Source organism: Homo sapiens, chromosome 9 (genome assembly GCF_000001405.40).
Source record: "Homo sapiens chromosome 9, GRCh38.p14 Primary Assembly".
Classification (NCBI taxonomy): domain Eukaryota; kingdom Metazoa; phylum Chordata; class Mammalia; order Primates; family Hominidae; genus Homo; species Homo sapiens.
Genome location: NC_000009.12, coordinates 36,982,194 through 37,001,063, shown reverse-complemented (window position 1 = coordinate 37,001,063; position 18,870 = coordinate 36,982,194). Strand labels below are relative to the sequence as shown.

General features: G+C 50.6%; 1 protein-coding gene across 13 annotated transcripts in view, besides 11 other annotated features; it reads left to right on the top strand.

Annotated features, from left to right (window-relative positions):
- Positions 1 to 18,870, top strand: part of PAX5 (paired box 5) — a 201,000-nt gene that overhangs the window by 33,205 nt on the left and 148,925 nt on the right. The gene's annotated exons all lie outside the window — the stretch shown is intronic.
- Positions 1,173 to 1,222: an enhancer, noted in NCBI's record as "active region_28368". NCBI's record gives its function as "activates an Ori minimal core promoter by ATAC-STARR-seq in GM12878 lymphoblastoid cells {active_cell/tissue: GM12878}" and the evidence as "EXISTENCE:reporter gene assay evidence [ECO:0000049][PMID:35858748]".
- Positions 2,880 to 3,394: an enhancer, noted in NCBI's record as "H3K4me1 hESC enhancer chr9:36997667-36998181 (GRCh37/hg19 assembly coordinates)". NCBI's record gives its function as "activates a minimal SCP1, AML or CMV promoter by ChIP-STARR-seq in primed H9 embryonic stem cells {active_cell/tissue: H9 hESC(primed)}" and the evidence as "EXISTENCE:reporter gene assay evidence [ECO:0000049][PMID:30033119]".
- Positions 3,395 to 3,910: an enhancer, noted in NCBI's record as "H3K4me1 hESC enhancer chr9:36997151-36997666 (GRCh37/hg19 assembly coordinates)". NCBI's record gives its function as "activates a minimal SCP1, AML or CMV promoter by ChIP-STARR-seq in primed H9 embryonic stem cells {active_cell/tissue: H9 hESC(primed)}" and the evidence as "EXISTENCE:reporter gene assay evidence [ECO:0000049][PMID:30033119]".
- Positions 4,412 to 4,912: an enhancer, noted in NCBI's record as "H3K4me1 hESC enhancer chr9:36996149-36996649 (GRCh37/hg19 assembly coordinates)". NCBI's record gives its function as "activates a minimal SCP1, AML or CMV promoter by ChIP-STARR-seq in naive H9 embryonic stem cells {active_cell/tissue: H9 hESC(naive)}" and the evidence as "EXISTENCE:reporter gene assay evidence [ECO:0000049][PMID:30033119]".
- Positions 4,412 to 4,973: a biological region, named in NCBI's record as "H3K4me1 hESC enhancer GRCh37_chr9:36996149-36996649".
- Positions 4,814 to 4,973: an enhancer, noted in NCBI's record as "active region_28367". NCBI's record gives its function as "activates an Ori minimal core promoter by ATAC-STARR-seq in GM12878 lymphoblastoid cells {active_cell/tissue: GM12878}" and the evidence as "EXISTENCE:reporter gene assay evidence [ECO:0000049][PMID:35858748]".
- Positions 5,684 to 5,753: an enhancer, noted in NCBI's record as "active region_28366". NCBI's record gives its function as "activates an Ori minimal core promoter by ATAC-STARR-seq in GM12878 lymphoblastoid cells {active_cell/tissue: GM12878}" and the evidence as "EXISTENCE:reporter gene assay evidence [ECO:0000049][PMID:35858748]".
- Positions 5,804 to 5,863: an enhancer, noted in NCBI's record as "active region_28365". NCBI's record gives its function as "activates an Ori minimal core promoter by ATAC-STARR-seq in GM12878 lymphoblastoid cells {active_cell/tissue: GM12878}" and the evidence as "EXISTENCE:reporter gene assay evidence [ECO:0000049][PMID:35858748]".
- Positions 5,894 to 6,053: an enhancer, noted in NCBI's record as "active region_28364". NCBI's record gives its function as "activates an Ori minimal core promoter by ATAC-STARR-seq in GM12878 lymphoblastoid cells {active_cell/tissue: GM12878}" and the evidence as "EXISTENCE:reporter gene assay evidence [ECO:0000049][PMID:35858748]".
- Positions 7,364 to 7,413: an enhancer, noted in NCBI's record as "active region_28363". NCBI's record gives its function as "activates an Ori minimal core promoter by ATAC-STARR-seq in GM12878 lymphoblastoid cells {active_cell/tissue: GM12878}" and the evidence as "EXISTENCE:reporter gene assay evidence [ECO:0000049][PMID:35858748]".
- Positions 13,605 to 14,560: an enhancer, noted in NCBI's record as "H3K27ac-H3K4me1 hESC enhancer chr9:36986501-36987456 (GRCh37/hg19 assembly coordinates)". NCBI's record gives its function as "activates a minimal SCP1, AML or CMV promoter by ChIP-STARR-seq in primed H9 embryonic stem cells {active_cell/tissue: H9 hESC(primed)}" and the evidence as "EXISTENCE:reporter gene assay evidence [ECO:0000049][PMID:30033119]".

Sequence of the window (18,870 nt, the reverse complement as noted above, 5' to 3'; positions counted from 1 at the left end):
CATGCCCGGAGGAGGACTGCAGCCCATTTGGGGGTATTGACCTTTAAGAGGGACGGTGACAAATGGGATTGTGTCCTGGGCGAAGAGGGATCTGATACAGCATCTGGGAACACCTCAAGCCTCTAGGGATATTTTGGCACAAAGAAGAGCAGAATAAGCGAGACTGGATTGCTGCCTTCAAGTATTTGGAGGGCTGACATGGAAGGAGGAAGGAATGAGATCTCATTGCATGGCCTTAAAGTGTGTGGCTGATGCAGAGGTGATTTCACCTCAGTTTAAAAAGAACCAAGTTGCACATATGAGAGTGGCCTAGGATAAAAGGAGATGCCTCGGGAGGTAATGAGTGCCCTATCTCTGGGGATATGTAAGCAGAGACTAAGTGGCCACTTGTTGGGCTGCCAACAGAGTATCAAGAATCAGATGTGGTATTGGATGATCTTTTTTACTTTTTAATTAAAATTTTTTTCTTAATAAATAGACACGGTGTTTTGATATGTTGCCCAGGCTCATCCTGGACTCCTGACTTCAAGTGATGTGCCTGCCTAGGCCTCCCAAAGTGTTGGGATTACAGGCATGAGCCACTGTTCCTGGCCTGGGTGATCTTTGAAATCTTTCCAGTTCTGATATATATGGTAGAGTCCTGATCCTCAGGAAGACTTAGGGGGCAGTCCAGTCAGTGGTCTGTGGTAGAAGGGAGAATGACTTGATGGTCCTGGAAGCTTATAGGAGTGGAAAGAGTGGGGGACAAACCCAATCAACCAGAGCCTCCCCCTAACTCCTACCCCACACCACTGAGAGTATGCACGTTTGATCCCAGGGGTGGGCAGCAATGGCCGGGCTCACACCAGGGAAGTGTCTGTCGGGGGTATTGCATAAGTGCCCCCTTCTGATGTTTCCCATCCTCTCTCTGTATCTCTCTGGATTCCTGCAGTGGCCCTAGGGGGAGGTAAAGAGGCAGAGACTGTCACTTCCGTTTTACTAGGGGAGGGGATGGAGGCTACACAGCCATACAGCTGGTATGGACTGGGGAGTCAGGAGGAGCTGGAGTGCTCCTGAGGCCTCAGTTCCCTGGTATTTTCCAGCTACCTGTTGTCCCTCAGCCCTTTCAGAGATGCGCTTTGGAGGCGGAGCAGTCTGGGGCTGGGCAGAGCCTGGGGCCAGTATGGGGAAGAGTTTCAATCAGAAGGGCATGATTAGCAGGTTGGATGCGGAGAGAGAAGTGAGACCTGAAGGCCAGAGGTTGGAGGAGAGCAGAGAAAGTAAGAAGCAGCCACTGGGGAAACAGGGATATTTCAGGCACACTGGCCGGCTGGCCCATGGCAGCTGCAAACCATGGATTTGTGAGGGTTCTGGCCTCCAGTGCGGTACCATCAGCAGCCTGAGAGAAGAATCATGGGGTAAGAGAGGCAATGGAGAGCTAAGAGGAAGACAGCTGAGGGTCCTTGCCCATTTTTCGGATGAGGTGACTGAGGCTTTGCAAGGTGGAGTTGCTTACTCTGCTGCCTAGTTCACAGTCATCCCCAGCTTAGACTTGAGTTTTGCTCTGAGGGCATTTCCTGGGGCCACCCTCCTGCCCAGATCTTGCAGAGGTGAACGGGTGATAGGATCCAACCACAGAGGGTAAGGTGGCGAGCAAGACTGGCAAGCTGAAATTCCTCTGATGAGGAGGGCAGTGGGTGAGGTGACACTGGGGGAAAGAGTAAGGCAGGGAGGGCCAGTTTTGACCAAAAGGATCTTGGGGGCTCCTCATAGGAGGTGGCATTTGAGAGCTGGGTAAAGGGAGGAGAGGGCATTCCAATCAAAGGCAAGAGAGATTGTGCCAAGTCTGGGACTCTGGTGAGCATGTGCAGGGAGAGGACCAGCACGGCAGGATTTGGAAAGGGAGAGAGGTAGAGAGATGTGGGTGGCTTAGACTTTGACGGAGGCTTTCGAACATTTAGTCTAGAAGCATTTAGGGAGATAGTTTTGAGCTATGTGTCTCAGATGCTCAAGAAACATTCACTCTGCTGAGTGTTTCAGGTAAAAAGATAACATGACAGTGACTAGCCCTGCACTATCCAACAGAAGCAGAATGCAAGCCACGTGTAATTTTAAATGATCTAGTAACTACATTAAAAAGAGTAAAAAGAAACAAGTGGAATTAATTTTAATAATATATTTTATTTAATCCAGTATACCCCAAATATCATCATTTCAACATGTCAGCATATAAAAAATTTGATGCTATATTTTCTCTTATTTTTGCTGCCAAGTTTTTGAAATCTGGTGTGTATTTTACACATGTAGTACATCTCAATTTGGATGCGAAACGTTTGACAGTTAAAGTTAGATGTAGTCCTACCAAAACAATAAAGCTGTGTTTAGTGGGACAAATATTTTACACTGCTTCTATTTTAAAATTAAAATTAAAATCAAATCAAATAAAAAAATTAGCTCCTCGATTGTACTGGCCACATTTCAAGTGCACAGTAGCTACATAGGACTAGCGGCTGCTGTATTGGACAACACAGCTCTAATACAAGTGCTTGGCACATAGTAGGTGCTCAGTAAGTGCTCCTTGGTAGAGTGGATCAGTCACATTCCTTTAGAGGGTTCACAATTAGTAACGAGGGTGAGTGGAGGGACCTCTACTATCCTCAGTCAAGGGTGCTTTTGTTTGGTATTTTGGGCTTCCATAGAAAGCTCCGAGTAGAGTTCTGGAGCAAAGACAAACAAACTAACTAGAATATTGTTAGGCCAGTGGATTGGCGAAGGGCCCTTTCAGTATAGAGATTCTAGAGTTCTTCCTAGGATGCCTGCCTCCAAGACCAGACTCGGGTATATGGCCACTATGTCCAAGTCTCAGATGAACTGTTCTTCAGCAGCAGGTAAGATCTCTGTGGCCTCTGGAGGAAGAGCTGGGGCTGGTTAAAGGAAGCTGCAGGAGGCAGATTATGGCTGAATGCAACATATGGCTTTCAGAAGCAGCCAGGCTGGGCCAAGAATGGAAGCTTTATCTTAGAAAGGTAGTGAGCTCTCCATCATCAGAGGTGTGAGCAGGCGCTGGACAAATGAGGAGCAGAAGAGTCAAGGATGACATTCTGGTTCGGACTCTGTGACTTTTGAGGCAGGCCTGTTCTAGCCTGGGTGGCCAATGCTTCTGTGCCAGTACTGTGTCTGCAAGTGCATCTACCCACTTGTCTTTCCCTTCTGCTGCCTGACCCTGAGGCTGCCACTCATGTGGACTTGACAGGGCAGGGGCCACAAATCATTTCTATCCCCAGCGCAGCCTCTCGGCACAGCCCCGGTTCACACGGATGCCTGGGAGGCCTGCGGGATGGCTCTGAGGGTCAGGCTGGGGTGCCACCCAGTTATGAGATGTCGCTTTGTCTCTTGGTTGGTTTGAACTGAGAGCTTTCGTCGAGGAAGCTGTGGCATGGCTCAGGAATCCTGCTGGGTGAGGGGAATGGAGGCTGAGTCAGCACCTCCCTCTCCGGAAGGCCCAGAGGAGGTGGTGGCAGGGAGAGACTTGGCAAAGCAGGCAGGGCTGTGAATAGCGGCCATGGGTGAAAGGGCAGCCTCAGACCCTGGGTTCCTTCCTGGGCTTTTGATCTCTAGTGAGACCTCCTTCCGCCGCTCTCCCCACTTAGGTCCCCTCCCTGTCCCCCTCACAATAACTCACAGGGCCCTGAGTTTGAAAGGCCCTGAACACACTGAGGTCAGCGGAGTGCGAATCCCTTTCACCAGTTTAGAAAGCTGACCTGTCCAGCCAGTGTGGACTGTGGGGGCCAGAGGTTTCTTTTTGGGCAGTAGGGGTACGTTGCAAGTGAGTTTCCAGCCTTCTGGGCTCTGGACTACCTTCTAAGGAGGGCACAGGAAGGGCAGCCAGGGTTCAGAGGTGGCCTGTCCTTTCCAGAAGATGCCAAGTCTGATGAGACTCTCATGGGGAGGTTTGTTGGGGGGCATTTAGCCAGGTGCTCCCATTATGACTTCCTTTTTGGGGATGCCTGTCTCCTGTCTGTTTTTGTGTCTCTCCCCATGTCTTTGGGGGTGCATCTCATTCTGTGTTATTTGGCTTTATTTCCTGTTTATTGAACCTTCCTCTGTGTCTGTTTCTGTCTCCCGGTCTAGCTCTCACTAGCTTTCTTTTTCGTACATACTCTCTCTCACACACACACTCTCTCTCTCCCTCTCCTTCTTCTCTTTCTCTCACACTCATTCACTCATTCAATTTCCTTTCTCTCTTGCTATCTCTCTCTCTCCCCAAATCCCCTCTTCCCCTGTCTCTTTCAGGCTGGACGCCCCCTCAGCCCTGCCCAGCAGACCTCCACGGGAGCTATGGCCAGAGGGAAGGGGCTTCAGAAGCTCACAGACCGTGCTGGGGCCCTGGGCCCCTCTGACATGGGCAGGTCCTGGTCTTTTCTCTCCTAGGACCCTTTTCCTTCCCTGGATGCATAGATGCTGTCTGCTGCTCCCGGGATGAGGGCAGAAAACAGAAGCAGGAAGTGGGGAGAGCCCTCTCAGAGCTCCCAGAAGGGATGGGTATGTGGAAAAGCTCAGGATTCCTGAGTCAGGAGTAATAGGCAGCCCCTGTGGGATTGAGAGTTCACAGATCTCTGATCCCTGGAGAGCCCCAAATAAGGTGTTGAGTCAAAGGCACAGGCTCATGGGCAGGGATGAAATGGTTTGAGGACTTCTTGTAGCGAGTTACTTAATCTCTCTGCACCTCCATTTTGTTATCTGGCGAATAGAGTTGACGCAAGCCTTGTGGGTTACAGTGAGAATAAAATGAAGTGAAGTGACAGCTGCCAAGGGCGTGGCCCCAGGGCCTGGCTGTAGTCAATGCTGAGTAGATGGCCACGGAGAGGCCTATGTTTGAGGACGTGAGGCCCGTCATGGCAGAGGGCAGCAGGCTTTAGCCACGGTCCTGTTGGCAGCTGGAACTGGCTGGTTCGCCCACCACCACCTTCCTGTTTGGAGCTGTGGAGCCACGGAGCGATTCCATAGTACTGAAGAAGCCGATTGCCTGCAGCCGGGAGCCCGGGGCATCCAGGCTGAACAACAGTGCCCCCAGGTGTCGGCTGCAGAATGAAGGGCCACTCACTTTCCTCCTCCTTTGCCTTTAGGAAGCTGAGTCTCCCAGCCTGCTTCATGGCAGAAGAAAAGGGTCAGGCCCCAGTTTTCCCTGAAGAGAGGCACAGGGAGCACAGGGGGGTGGAGGCCTCCAGGGTGGGGGCAGAGGGTAGCACCCTGGGCCTGGGAGGGCTGGGCGTCTGAGGGGTTGTTGGGGCCACCAGCCTGGACCTCGAGACTCCCCCATGGGAGCTGGAAGGGCCTTGGAGAGCACCTGAGACGCCCCGCTCCGTCATTCGCATGGGAAAACAGGCTCAGAGAAGAGAGGCGGTCTGCCCAGATCACACAGCAAAACCCCCAAAACCTAGAGAGAGAGGATGGCTCTGTGGAAAATCCTTGGCATCCCTTGCCTTTCGATGTGATAAATTCAGTTTTCCTCTCCCTCCTTTCCTCCATTCTCACAGGGCCGTCCGCCATCCCCACTGTTGACAGCCAGCCCCATCAGTCTTATCTCCCCATGGGGTGCTGCCCACACGTCCCCCCGCACTGACCTCAGTTCTTGAGAGAAGCCCTGCCCTTCTCTCGCGGGCCTCCCTTTCCTCCTGCTCATTCCTCCTGTGCCTCCAGTCCCTGTGTGTTGGCTCAGCTTCCCGTCTCCAGGCCATTGCCCACTCAGGGCCTGCCACCTGGAATGCTGTCCTTGAGCCTGGACCTGGCCTGGCTTTCTGGAACCAGCCCACTCCCCTGTGGGGATTTCCAGTGTTGGGTCATTGGTCCTTCACAACTGGCTGAGACCCAAGGATTCTTTAGGGTCCAGTGTGGAGTATGGGTGAACAGGCAGCCTCTCCATCTCCTTTTCCCAGTGTGGCTTTGGGGGCAGGAAGGAGGTTACCACCATTTTGTCTTGGCCTCTGCTGGGGCTTTCCAAGGGCAGGTCCCCTCCCTGGCCCTCTGTGTGCTGTCCCCTGGATGTAGAGAGGTGTCTACATGTCCCCTCATGTAGAGAGGTGGGTTGTTACCTGAGTTCTCTTTTTGTCTAGGAAGGAGTCAGGACCAAGGTTCTGCTGGGGTGTGGTCGTGGTGGGGGCATCACGTAGAACCCAGGGGGGAATTGGCAGCCTGGTAGCCATGCTTTCCTTGGCTTGCCCTGTATTGATGATGATTTTGAATTAGTTACCAACATTGCAAAATCAGGAAATTTCATGTATGGATGGATGCCTGGCTTCTTTGGGGAAGAAAAATCAGATCTGGCAACCCTGGGGCAGCTGGCAGCCTGGCAACCCACAAGGCAACAGTCATCTGGGGCTGCTGGGCCCGAGTTCTCATGCGCTCCCCGCTCAAGTTGCTCTCGGCACTTGTGCTCTGTTTTCCTTGGCCTGAAGGTCTTTGAGCTTCTGGAGTCTTAGCATGAACTCTAAAGAAACCAGTTTGGCTCAGTCTCTGCCTGTGGCAGCTGAAGCTAATGGGAGGCAGATCCTGGAACTGGCCGGTGGGGCCGAGTGTGCGTGCGTGTATGTGTGTGGTCAGGGAAGTGGGTAGTCAGGCTTACAGGCCAGAGGTGGGTAGGGTAGCGGAGGCAAGAACTTAGGGCAGTGGCCAAGCAGCCACACTCCTTGGCAGGTCATGTGCTCTATACCCTGCAGGTAGGGTAGTCCAGGCACAGAGGGCGCAGGCTTGGCCCAAGGGTATGCAGGGGGCAGTTAGTGGCAGAGATGGTGAGGACCTGGTTTCCATCTCCCTGCCTGGCGGGCCACTCTCCCCTGTGATCTCTGTCCTGATCTTGTAGCTGTGGGCACCTCAGCTGAGACCCAGATAGACAACTGCTGGAGGCCTCTGTGGTAACGCAGGGCATCTGAGGCCAGGTGGCCAATTGGAGGGGCTCCTGGGGCCTTTCCCTAGTGCCCAGGGCCTGTCCCACGGGTGGGGGCTCAGGTTTCGGTTCCTCCTCGCTCCTGGGTCCCCAAGTTTCACTTTGATTCAGTGAGCGAGAGCCCCCGTGAGAGCCAACGCCGCTGAACCCCCACCCTCTCTGTTTGTGCACCTGGTTTGCCCCAGCCCCTCCCCCTCCTCTTACCCCCAGTTCCTTTTCCCATGGGGTGGTGTACTGGTGTTCGGGAGAGCCCTGGGGGTATGGGAGAGGGCAGGGTGCTGCCATGTGGGGATCTCAGTTCAGGGAATCAGTTTGGGGGCCAACCAGTAAAAGAGTGGTGGGGCCGATGGAGGGGGATATAGTCTCATCTGCTGTGGGCAGTCCCCTGCCAAGGCGGTCTGGAACTTGAGGTGAAATGGCCTTGGCTTTCTCCACCCTGCATGCCCTGCTGCCCCATGGGGAAGAGAATCCCACAGTCCTTTCTCTCTGGCTTGGGAATATGGTTTAATCCCTGGCTGCATAGCCTGTGGGTCAGAGAATTTACAAGGCTTCAAACCCCTGCCCCTGCTGTGTCCCTTCTTCCTGTCCCTTTCTCTGTCTGGGCCTCAGTTTTTCCATCTAAAACAGGAGATCAATGAATTGCTGAGGTTTTTTTCTGGCACCAAAATTTTGAGTTTCTCCTGGTTCCATCTCAAGTCCTCTTGGCATTATTGTAGGGCAGCAGTTCTCAAATGTTTGGTCCTGGGTCCCTTTAAACTCTTAAAAATTATCAAGGACTTCAAGGAGCTTTAGTTTATGAGGGTTAATTAAAATGGATGAAAGTTTAAAATATTTATTTATTAAAAATAACAGTAACAAACAAGTAACATAAATAATATTTTTGAAATAAGAAAGAACCGAATCTTCCAAACCCAAAATTTAGTATGAATGGCATTGGCTTACAGTTCTGCAGATCCCTTTAGTGTCTGGCTTAATAGAAAACAGCTGGACTCTCATAGCTGCTGCTGTATTCACTCCGTTGTGATGGAACACATCTTACAGCTTCTGAAAACCTCCACTGTAGACTCGTGAGAGAATGAGAGTGAAGAAGACAAATCACACATTAGCATTAATATGAAAATAACAGGTGCAGCAAACCACTATGGCACATGTATACCTGTGTAACAAACCTGCACATTCTGCACGTGTATCCCAGAACTTAAAGTAAAATAAAAAAACAATGAAAATAATTTTGTCCTCACAGATCACCTGAAAGTATCTTGGGGACCCCTTCTTCCAACCCTGGCAGGGCTCCCTGGACTACACTTTGAAAATTTCTGCTTCAGGCTGCTGCAAAGTCTGAACTTGCCTACTTATCACTCATATAGATAAGGTGAGCAATTAAGTGGTTTCAGTTAAAAGAAAGGTGTCATCAGTCATTTCTCCTGTTCTTAGCTCCTTAAGACAGTGGGAGCCATGGCAGGTCTTTGAGCTGAGGAGGGAGTGACAAGACACACTGGGTTTTGGAAATCCTCCACTAGCCGATTGGGATATGTATGTAGTGCTTCTTGCTTCTATCCCAGGTTGAGCTCCCACGGAAAGACATAGCTACCGAGCCTTCTCCCCTTCCCAGCAGATTGTTGGTAGGGCTTGAGGTCTGATTTCCCTCCAGCAGGCTTTCTTCTGTGCCAGCAGCAGCCAGCTCGTGCCACCCGAGAGCCTGGGGAGTGAGTGTTTCAGAACCCTGCCTATTCTCCCCATCCAGCTTAGCTCTGTACTAGCCTGCAGCCACCTGGAGACCCCATCTGGGGCATATTTTTGATGGGAAGAAAACCTAGCAATGCTATTGATTGGGAATGAAACAAAATAAAATAAAGAAGTGGGTTTGGTATTTATCTTGACTCCTGGCATTTGAGGAAAAGCAGGTCTAAAAGACAGTTGACAAAGGGGAGATTTTTGTTCTGATTCCACAGGGGCTTCTGGGTGTTTCTGGAATGTTTCTGGTTGACTCATGTGTGTGTGTGGGAGGGTTGGGGGGTGGGGGCGAGGTGTGTGTGTGCCCGCATGTGTTTAATTTTACTTTGAAATTTCTAGTTTTCATTTTTATTAGTACAAATTAACATTTGTGTTAGTCCTTCCTTGGGGCATTTTATCCCTGTGTTAGAATAAACTGTGGGAGAGGGAGAACAAGAGAATGTCTTAAGGTAATTTGAGAAAAATTGAGAGAGGAAGAAGGATAAAAGGTGTGAGAGAAGGTATGTGTGAGAAACACATTGCTTGTAGCAAAATTAACTGATCTATGAGAGGAAATAGGCAGAAAGAAAGGCATAGCCTCTTGAGGGACTGAACAGTGGAGGACGAAAGTGATGAGGGAGTCAGACACTTCCCAGCACCAGCCACCAGGTGGCACCATCGACCCAGGACAGCTTAGTTGCTGTCCAGGGTTAGGAACAAGAGGGGTAGGGTAGCAGGGCAGTGTGTACCGGCCATTCATGAGCTTGGTATGCTTGTAACTGGGTCGGAGGTGGCAGTGCCCAGGTGGGCTGACCATTAGCTGAAGTCTCACTTCTTCAGCAGCATTCAGTCAGGGAGGGGGAGGCTGGACCATTGCTAGTGGGGATTAATCTGGTCCTTTCTCACCTCCATGGTCCAAATGCCTTGATATAAACCTTTCTGGGAGTAGAGTCCTTGGTTCTACTCTAAGCCTTTACTTGCTGTGTGACCTTGGCCAAGTCACTTCTCTCTGGGCCTTGTTTTCCGCATATTAAAATGTGGAAATTGGAGCAGACGATTTTTGAGGTTCTTTTGGGCTCTGACACTCTGTGGTGTACCAGAGAGCACTAGAGCTGGAGTTAGATTCTAGATCTTTCTGTCAGCCATGTGACCTTGGGTAGGTCACTTCTCACATCTGTGGAGATTATAGTCACATCTTTCTCTTAGACTTACATAAAATAGAAGATGGAAAAATGCTTTTGAAATCTTTTTGGTGCTTTAGGAAAAGGAGAGTGTTGTGATTTTATAATTTTTGCTGGAATTTTTTTTTTTTTTTTTTTTGAGACAAGGTCTGGCTCTACCGCCCAGGCTGGAGTGCAGAGGTGTGATCTCAGCTCACTGCAACCTCTGCCTCCTGGGCTCAAGCCATCCTCCCAGCTCAGCCTCGGAGTAGCTGGGGCTACAGGCATGAACCGCCATGCCTGGTTAATTTTTGTATTTTTTGTAGAGATGGGATTTCACCATGTTGTCCAGGCTGGTCTCAAACTCATGAGCTCAAGCAATCCACCTGTCTTGGCCTCCCAAAGTGCTGGGATTACAGGCGTGAGCCACTGCGCCCGGCCTTCTCTGGAATTTAAATTAGCGGGAAGCAGGGGCTCCACCATCTTCACTGCTTAGAAAGTTTGTGCCTCTACATGTCACCACGGAAAAAGGCCTGCCTTATGGCAAGCGTTTGCTCAAGGTCACTGCATCTCTGTCCTAAATATCCATTGAATCTGCTCATTTCTCTCCATCCCCATTGCTACTGCCTTAGTCCAAGCACTCTCTTCTCTCATTTGGACTATTGCTGTAGCCTGCTGGCTGGTCCCCATCTCCAATGTCGTTGACTTGTCCAAATAATAGTCTGCCCTCCACATAGCAGCTGAAAGAAAATTCTGATCAATGACTTGCCTGAAGGGTTTTAACCTTCAAATCTGCCCATTGTTCTCAGAAGCTATGCAAACTTCTTAACAAGGCTGCCAGGCCCTCTCCACTCTCCTCTTTTCATGCGCACTCCAGTCATACCAAACCTCTTTCCGTTCCTTAAACACCACATGCTCTGTCCTGTTTGCAACCTAGGAGTCAGACAACCCGAGTTCTAGTGCTGACTCAACAATGACTACTCCTGGAATCTTGGACCAATCTCTGAGCCTCAGTTTCCCAATTGTGCTTGTGATTGGACTGTTATATGAATTGAATGAGATTATGCATGTAAAGTGCTCAGGATGACCCCATATATAATAAGTGCTCAATAAAGAGTGCCTTTTATTATGCTCTTCCCACTGCTTGAAAAACTGTCTTCCTCCCTCACCCTACTGTTTACCTGGCTGACATCCCAAACTTCAGGATCTAGCTTGTGTCACTTCCTAAGTGAGGGCTTCTCAGATGCTCCCCTCCAACCCAACTCCCCACCAGCACACAGAACCTGCCTGTTCATCAAAATATCACATTTGTCACTCGCCTGTTTTCCCAGCAAGACTGTGAGCTCCATGAAGGCAGGAACTGTGTCTGGAGCAGTCACCAATGTCACCTTAGTGCCCAGCACAGGGCCTGGTTCACAACAGCAAATATGTACCGAATGGGGGCCATGGATGTCACAGAAGCCATGGGCTCATCTGGGGAATGAGTGGAGGCTGCTGAGCAGAACACAGAGCCTTGCACGTCAAACGTTCCCCAAGTCCTGCCTGACCCCAGAGTCTCCATCCTCCAGGATCTTGTGACAGCCATTCTAGACGGGGAGGGAGCTCTTTCGTGATCTACATGCACACATGCATACATATGGATACTGGTGCCTGTGGTCCTCTTTCTGCCTGCCATACCTAAGCATGTGCTCCAGATGTGTATAGATCACAGCACCAAAGAGGAACTGCAATATGGGATAACTATAACGGCTAACATTTACTGAGTATTGACTCTGGATTTTAAATTATTAACTCATGTAATACTCACAACCACTGTACCAGGTGGATACTCTTATTATCCCCATTTTATAGAGATACAGAGAGAGTGAGACAATTTCCCAAGGTCACACAGCTCAATAGTGGCAGTGTTGGGACTAGTACCTAGGTGCTTACTGGCCATCCCAGTCTGCCTCTCACAGAGGGTGTCACAACAGGATGACATCCGTATGAGGCTGTGTTCTCCAGGGGAATATCCTCAGCTCTCTCCAACATGGGGCTTTGATTCTACTTTTTCGCAGTTCTGCCTGTTCCCCCATTATCCTGTCTGGCTGAGCTCAGGGGGACCTTGGCTCAGAGTCTGTTGCATCACTCAGGGGTACGCCATTTCTGAAGCTTTCCTAACACTGCTGCGCACACTTCCCTGTCACACCTGCAAGTTGGTCACCTTCAAGCGCAGCCGGCTGGTCACATGTGGGTTTTAAGCCACAGCAGGTGGCACCGTGAGTAGACTGGGGTTTGAGCCTTGCCTTTCCTTTTACTAGCAGTGTGAGCTTTGACAGCAAAGGGCTTTAGCTTCTTTGAGCTTCAATTTCCTCACCTGTCAAAGGGGGATAATAATTCCTGCCTTTTCTGGTAATTAGAAAATGTTGCCTATAATATTTTGATTAGCACTGGCACATGGCAAGTTTCAAAAATATCACCTATTATTTTCTTATTTCTATTATCAGAGCAAAGTGTTTTTACTCTGAATCTAGATTCCTCAAAAAGATCTCGTTGAGAACGTTCTAAATTCCCAGATTTTTTGTTTTCTCTCTCTCTCTCTCTTTTTTTTTTTTTTTTTTTTTTTTGAGACAGGGTCTCACTCTGTTGCCCAGGCTGGAGTGCAGTGGTGCAAACACAGCTCACTGCAGCCTTGACCTCGTGGGCTCAAGTGATCCTTCCACTTCAGCCTCCTGAGTAGCTGGGACTGCAGGCATGCACCACCACACCCGGCTATTTTTTAAAATTTTTTTGTCAAGACAAGATCTCGCTTTGTTGCCTAGGCTGGTCTTGAACTCTTGGGCTCAAGCAATCCTCCTGCCTCAGGCTCCCAAAATGCCAGGATTACAGGCTTTCTTTCTTTTTTAATGATCATTTTATTTATATTACTAAGTTTCATGATAGGATTGTTCAGCTTAGGGTCAGAAGAAAAGGAAAGAAATACCAACTGGAATTCATGCTGGCAGAATTTCAGCTCCATGTTTCTGAAACACAAATAATTCAAGTCGTAGCTGAGGGCAGCTGTCAGAAGTAAGGTGAGCCTGACACGACACTGGAGAAGCCTGGGTTTCTCATCCTGACTCAGCCGTGGCCTTGCGGTGTGGTCTGAGTCAGGTCCTGCCCTTCCGGAGCCTCGGTTAGGACCCACTGAGTCTGGACAACCCTTCCAGCTCCTGATCCTTTCTCCTCCCCCGCTCCCCGCCGCTCCCCCTCCCTCCTTCTTCATCTTCTCGCTCTTCGTTTCCTTTCTGTCTCAGACACAAACGCCATCCAGCACTTCTGAATAGTACTTTTGTTCCGTGAACATCTCTTTTCTGAAAAGGACGATTGGTCAGGTTTGTATCTTTTAACTGCTGGCACATTTTATCAGTTAAGAACCTGCGTACCTCCCTCTCGGGAGACAACCTTAAGGAGGCAGGCAGGCAGGCAGAGAGGCAGAGACAATGGGCGAAAAACAACTGTTTGGGGGCCTAATTTATGGTTCCTCCAGCAAATGCCTTCCTTCGTGGGAGCCCCTTTCCCCTTTCCTGCTCTTCCCCATGGCCCCGAGCATCTTCCAGCAGACCCCAGTGTATGACTCCTTCCTAGCTCCCCAAAGAATGGGGAGAGGGAACGAGCAGAGCCTGTGCCTGAGCCATCTCGTTCAAGGCCTTCAAGGCGGGGCTTGGAGTCCTGGCTTGGCACTCCCTTGCTGGTGATCTTGGGCAACCCATGCTGGGCCTCGATTTTCCTACTGGCACCAGAGAGAGCAGGACGCCTTCTTCAAATTCTTGTGCAAATTCGGCGAGAAGAAGTGCATGAGAAAGTGCTTTATAAGCTGTAAAGCTCTCTTGCCTATGAGAGTATCATTGTAGTTCATCTCACATACCCGCTCTGTGGCAAGGGACACATTTCTGAACATCTCCAAGGGTCGGTTTCCCCATCTGTAAAATGGGGACTATATACTTAGGTCATACAATTACTGTGAGAATTCCATAACAGAGGCAAAACACCTGGTACAGTTCTTGGCAGTGGGAGGTGCCCAGGTCTAGGCTGGGCCGTTTTCCGTTTCCCTTTCTTATTCCTCCACAGCGCCTTTCCCTGAATGCAGCGTATAGGCACGCAGCCGCAGGCGTTTGAAACCCAACTGGCCACTCTCTGGCCTGCACCCCACTTCGCTCCTCTGTAGAAGTCGGACAGTAACAGTATCTGCTTCGGAGGGCTGTGGGGGAAGATTAGACTGTGCCCATCCGTGGCTCGGCACAGCGTCAGCACCAGGTGAACGCTGGTGATGCTGCCAGGCCTTCCTCCCTCTGGACACCCAGGCACTGGGCATGGGCTGGACGGGACCCCGGCCACCATCTCCTTCGAGCCTACTCGTGGCCGGTGAAGAAAGCCAGGCATGAGAGGAGCAGGAAGCGAGTCGCTCAAGGGCGCACCGAGTCATATCCCAAGATCTTTGAAGGAGGTCCAGGGATCCGCGGTGCCACCGTGAGAATACAGCTCGGCAGAGAGGCCGAGGTCCCTGCGGGGAGGCCGGTCCCTTCCTCCTCGGCCCCGCGGTCCGGGCGCCCCGTGGGCCTAGCTCCCGCCCACCGGCCGGGAGTCCTCGGGGCTCGGGCTCCGACGGAGGAGTCCCCAGGGCCGGGGGCGGAGGGCAGACGACTTCCAGGAGGTCACCTGGATTTCCTGCGCGACGTGGAAGGAGAAATGAATTCAGCTGCGGCCGAACGTGGCGCAAAGAGAAGGCTGAGCGCGGCGCCCCCGGGAAGGAGGCCGCCCGCTCGCGCCGGCCTCCGCCAAGCATTTGCAATTTAATTGACATTGGCGGCAGGAAGCCAATCAGTCTAAGTCAATTGACGTTCCGAGATAAAACTAATCGGCGGCCGGCGCTGCCCCCGCCGGCGCGGCCGCGGCGGGGCCCGGGGCGCAGCGTGGAGGCGGCGGCGCGCCCTGCAGGTCCCAGCGCTGGCGCGTGGCTCGGCCCGCTGATTGCCGCGCGGCCCGCGGCGGCCAGGAGAGGCCCGTAATGAATGACTTTATTTGCCGGGGCCCCGCTGAGAACAATTGAGTTTGTTATGCTAACAACGGATGCCAGCTTTCCGGGGCCCCGGGGGGCGCGGGCGCGGCGGCAGCCGGGAGCTGGGCAGCGGAGCAGATGATGCGCGCCGGGGCGAGGGCGCCGGACGGGGGTGCCGGGCGGGGGTCGGACGGAGCTGGCGTCGGGACCCGGCCTGGAGGGGCGAGGCCGGTTCGGATGGCGGACGCGCAGCGTGGAACCGGGATGGGAGTTCTTGATCATTCCTTGATGTTGGACAGGCAGGTCCTCCTGGGTGCGACTGCCACTCTTTCTTCCCTCTGTCCCCGAGCCTGAGTGGGGGTTCTGATCTTGCTGGATGATGCCCTGACATAAACTTTTTTGTCTCTTGCACCGGTGGAAAATTAGAAAAAGGCACAAACACAAAGGCATCACTTTTTCCAGTGACCTGCTGTGGCTTGGGAAGTTCGGGACTGGATTTTGACCCTGCCACGTGTGCTTTGCGCCCTGGAGGGAAGGCCTTCCTTCCATCTCTGTCCCCTGTGTGTATCCCCATGCTCTGTGGCCAGGCGCCGGCCTCAGAAAGCTCTTCTTGCCCTACACAGAAGGCTGCCTCATGGAGATGGCTGGCTCTGAGGCCCCACAGCCTTCTCCTGCCTCCCCCTTCGGACCTTGAGTTCCAAGGGCAGAAGTCGTCTCCCATTCGTCCCAGACGCCCTCAGTGCCCAGCATAGGGCCTGGCACACACGTGGAAGTAGTAGTGAGGGAATGGACTTCTCTCTTCTTTGCGATCTCTTGCTTTCCCTCTGGTTGCAGACACCAGAGTCCCCTTTTCCAGTTCTGTTTTCAGGCATGCTGGCATTCCCTCACTCACTAAACAACTGAGAACCAACCTTTCATCCAAAAAAGCCCTGGCCAGGGAGAGATAATGTAACCCGTGTGATGAGTGTGTGGCAGGCACCTGCTATGTGCTCAGAGTTGGCAAAGGTGTAATAAGTGCTTGCTGAGGGCTTTTCCCTTTGTCATGGCACTCAGAGATCCCTGGTGCCACCCGGTGACAATCACCACCCCACCCCCCATTTGAAGACGGACAAACTGATGCCCAGCGTGTTTGAGAGGCAGCATGATGCAGTGGAATGGGTCTAAGCTGGGAATCTAACACTAGTTTGCTGTGTGAGCTTTGTCCATTTTCTTCCCCTCTCTGAGCCTCAGTATCCTTATCTATAAAGTGGGGGAGTTGGAGATGATGGCCTCTGAAGGCCAGTTGAGTGTGAGTTGTCTACAGGGAAGAGGGACCCAGGTCCCTGCTCCCAGCCCAGCTCTCTTTGGCTTTATAGTGTGACCACTGGGAAAAAATTGCCCTCTACCCTCAGCTGTACAAGGCTGATGGTGAGAGTGAAGCACTCACTTTGTGATAGGCGAGTGTGGTGAGTGTGTATGTACCAATACTGTTTTCCTTTGGCTGTTGGAAAAAATGAGGCTGGGTGCGGTGGCTCATGCCTATAATCCCAGCACTTTGGGAGGCTGAGGTGGGCAGATCACCTGAGGTCAGGAGTTCGAGAACAGCCTGGCCAACATGATGAAACCCCTAAAAATACAAAAAACCTCTACTAAAAATACAAAAAATTAGCCTGGCGTGGTTGTGTGCACCTGTAATCCCAGCTACTCAGGAGGCTGAGACAGGAGAATCGCTTGAACCTGGGAGGTGGAGGTTGCAGTGAGCCGAGATTGTGCCACTGCACTCCAGCCTGGGTGACAAGAGCGAAACTCCATCTCAAAAAAAAAAAAAAAAAAAAAAGAGAGGTTCAATAACCAATCCAGGGCCACAAAGCCAGTAAGTCACAAGGCTGGGATTCAAACCCAAGCACTCTGTTTTCAGAGCCTGTGCATATAACTGCTCTACTAGTTGGCAGAGGCAGCATATAACCCCCATAACACCCCTTCCTTGCCCTACACCTCACCCCAGTCTTAGTCCCACCTGCCTTGCTCTTGGAGCTCCAACGTGCATTCTGCATGTTTTCAGGGCAGGAGGAGCACTGATTTTTCAAGGTGATTTTTCTCTCCCTGGCCTATCCCTCTTGACCTAGGTATAGACAGCTGAGAGAAGGCTCCAGCAGGGAGGAGAAGCTGCTGTAGGAAGCTGGGACTCCTTGGCTCAGTCCTAGCTGGAATCTTATATTTGGGAAACGGTTTTCTAAAAAGGGCAGAGGGAATCCAGGTCTTGTCTGTTAGGAACAAGCTTTTACTATTCATGATCAAGGAAGTACATTTATTTCACAGTTGTTTTTGGTACTTGTCTTTCTGTCCCTCAAAGGTGGTCTGGAGAACTCTTTCTCTCTAGAGCTATACCCTTTTTAGCAAGACAAATTAGGAAGATAGTCCCTAATATGGGATAGTCTTGAAGGGTAGAACTGGAGGCGCCTTGGAATCATATATAGTGATTTTAAATTGTGTAACCCCAGCTGGGCAAGGTGGCTCATGCCTGTAATCCTAGCACTTTGGGAGGCCGAGAGGGGTGGATCCCTTGAGCTGAGGAGTTCAAGACCAGCCTGGGCAACATGGTGAAACCCCATCTCTACAAAAAATACAAAAATTAGCTGAATGTGGTGAAAAAAAATCATATCAATCCAATGTTTCCTCTTTAAAACAAGTATTTTGTAGCGCTTCCTTTGCTATCCTAAAATGAAATTTAGAGGAAATAGAATCCACTCATACACATAATTTAAAAAATAGATTTAATGCCCCAATTGTAACAAAAAGGGGAAAGAAAAGTAAAATCATAATAAAATGATATATTTTCATTATGTAAATGCTCAGACATGACTACACCAGAAGACATAATAAAGTAGTTAGTTGCTTGCACTTAGGCGTAGAATCTCCATGAATGCAGCAGCTATAAATGTGGACAGCTGTGTTTTTTGGCAATATAAATATCTCTGGCGGTGTTGCCATCAGTGAACTGATTTTCTGAAATTATGAACATGTCCTGATAAAATTCCAACCAAAGCAAAGCGTAATCTTCCCTCAATGTATATGTTGGTTGTATTCTTGGAAAAGTTAGTGTAAATGAAAACACCAAATCTCTGTGTATGTCGGAAACACAGAGTTATGTTCATGGCTCACCTATCTATAAAGAGTTTTCACCAACTTCAGTGTGTGATGGGTCATTCCAAAGATGTGTGAGATGCAGGCCAATTATTTACCGTGCTGAACTGTGCTGGGTAGCATCCCTGGCCCCATCCATTAAATGCCATACTTCCTCCCCCATAACAATATTAGTAATAATTCATAGATTTCCCAAATCTCCTCTGATCTGATCATGCTTACCGACAACCACTGGAATGAATGGGTTTCTCTCTAGGGTATCTTTCTTTTGGGAAGTTCTGTGGAGTCTGTGAAAAAGCAAAATCTGCAGGTATTGTGCACCCATTGTGTGCAAAACCTGACCCGGAGACACAGAAGCATAGCCTGATTTAGATGTGGAGGTGTGAAAGCTACGTGACCCCGCTCCATGGGTGCTAAGCTCCCAGGGGCCTCAGTCAGTGAGCATAGCCCCACCCACATCTTATCCTTGTCTGGGATGCCCCTTGCCTCTTCCTTCATGCCCCCAAATCCAAATCCTGGCTCAGATGCCACCTTCTCCTTCCAGGAGAAGGACCCCCCATCCTCCTGCACTGGACAGGTTCTTTCTGTCTCTAGACTTTCATTGCCTGCAGTTGAGGGCTCTCTTAGGATACTTTCACAAGCTTGGACTGTAAGTCCATCTCCAGGCCTTCTCTCCTTGACAGAGTATGGGCTCCCTGAGGGCTGAGACTGGGTTCCCTGGCAGGGCTATGCTTGGGACCAGAGCACCAGCAACAGATCAATGAATGCTGGAACCAAGGGATTCACCTTAGCCAGGTACCCCTCTTTGTACACATCTTGTTCTTTTTATTTTTTATTTATTTATTTTTATTTTTTTATTTTTTTTGAGATGAAATCTTGCTCTGTGGCCCAGGCCGGAGTGCAGTGGCATGATCTTGGCTCACTGCAACCTCTGC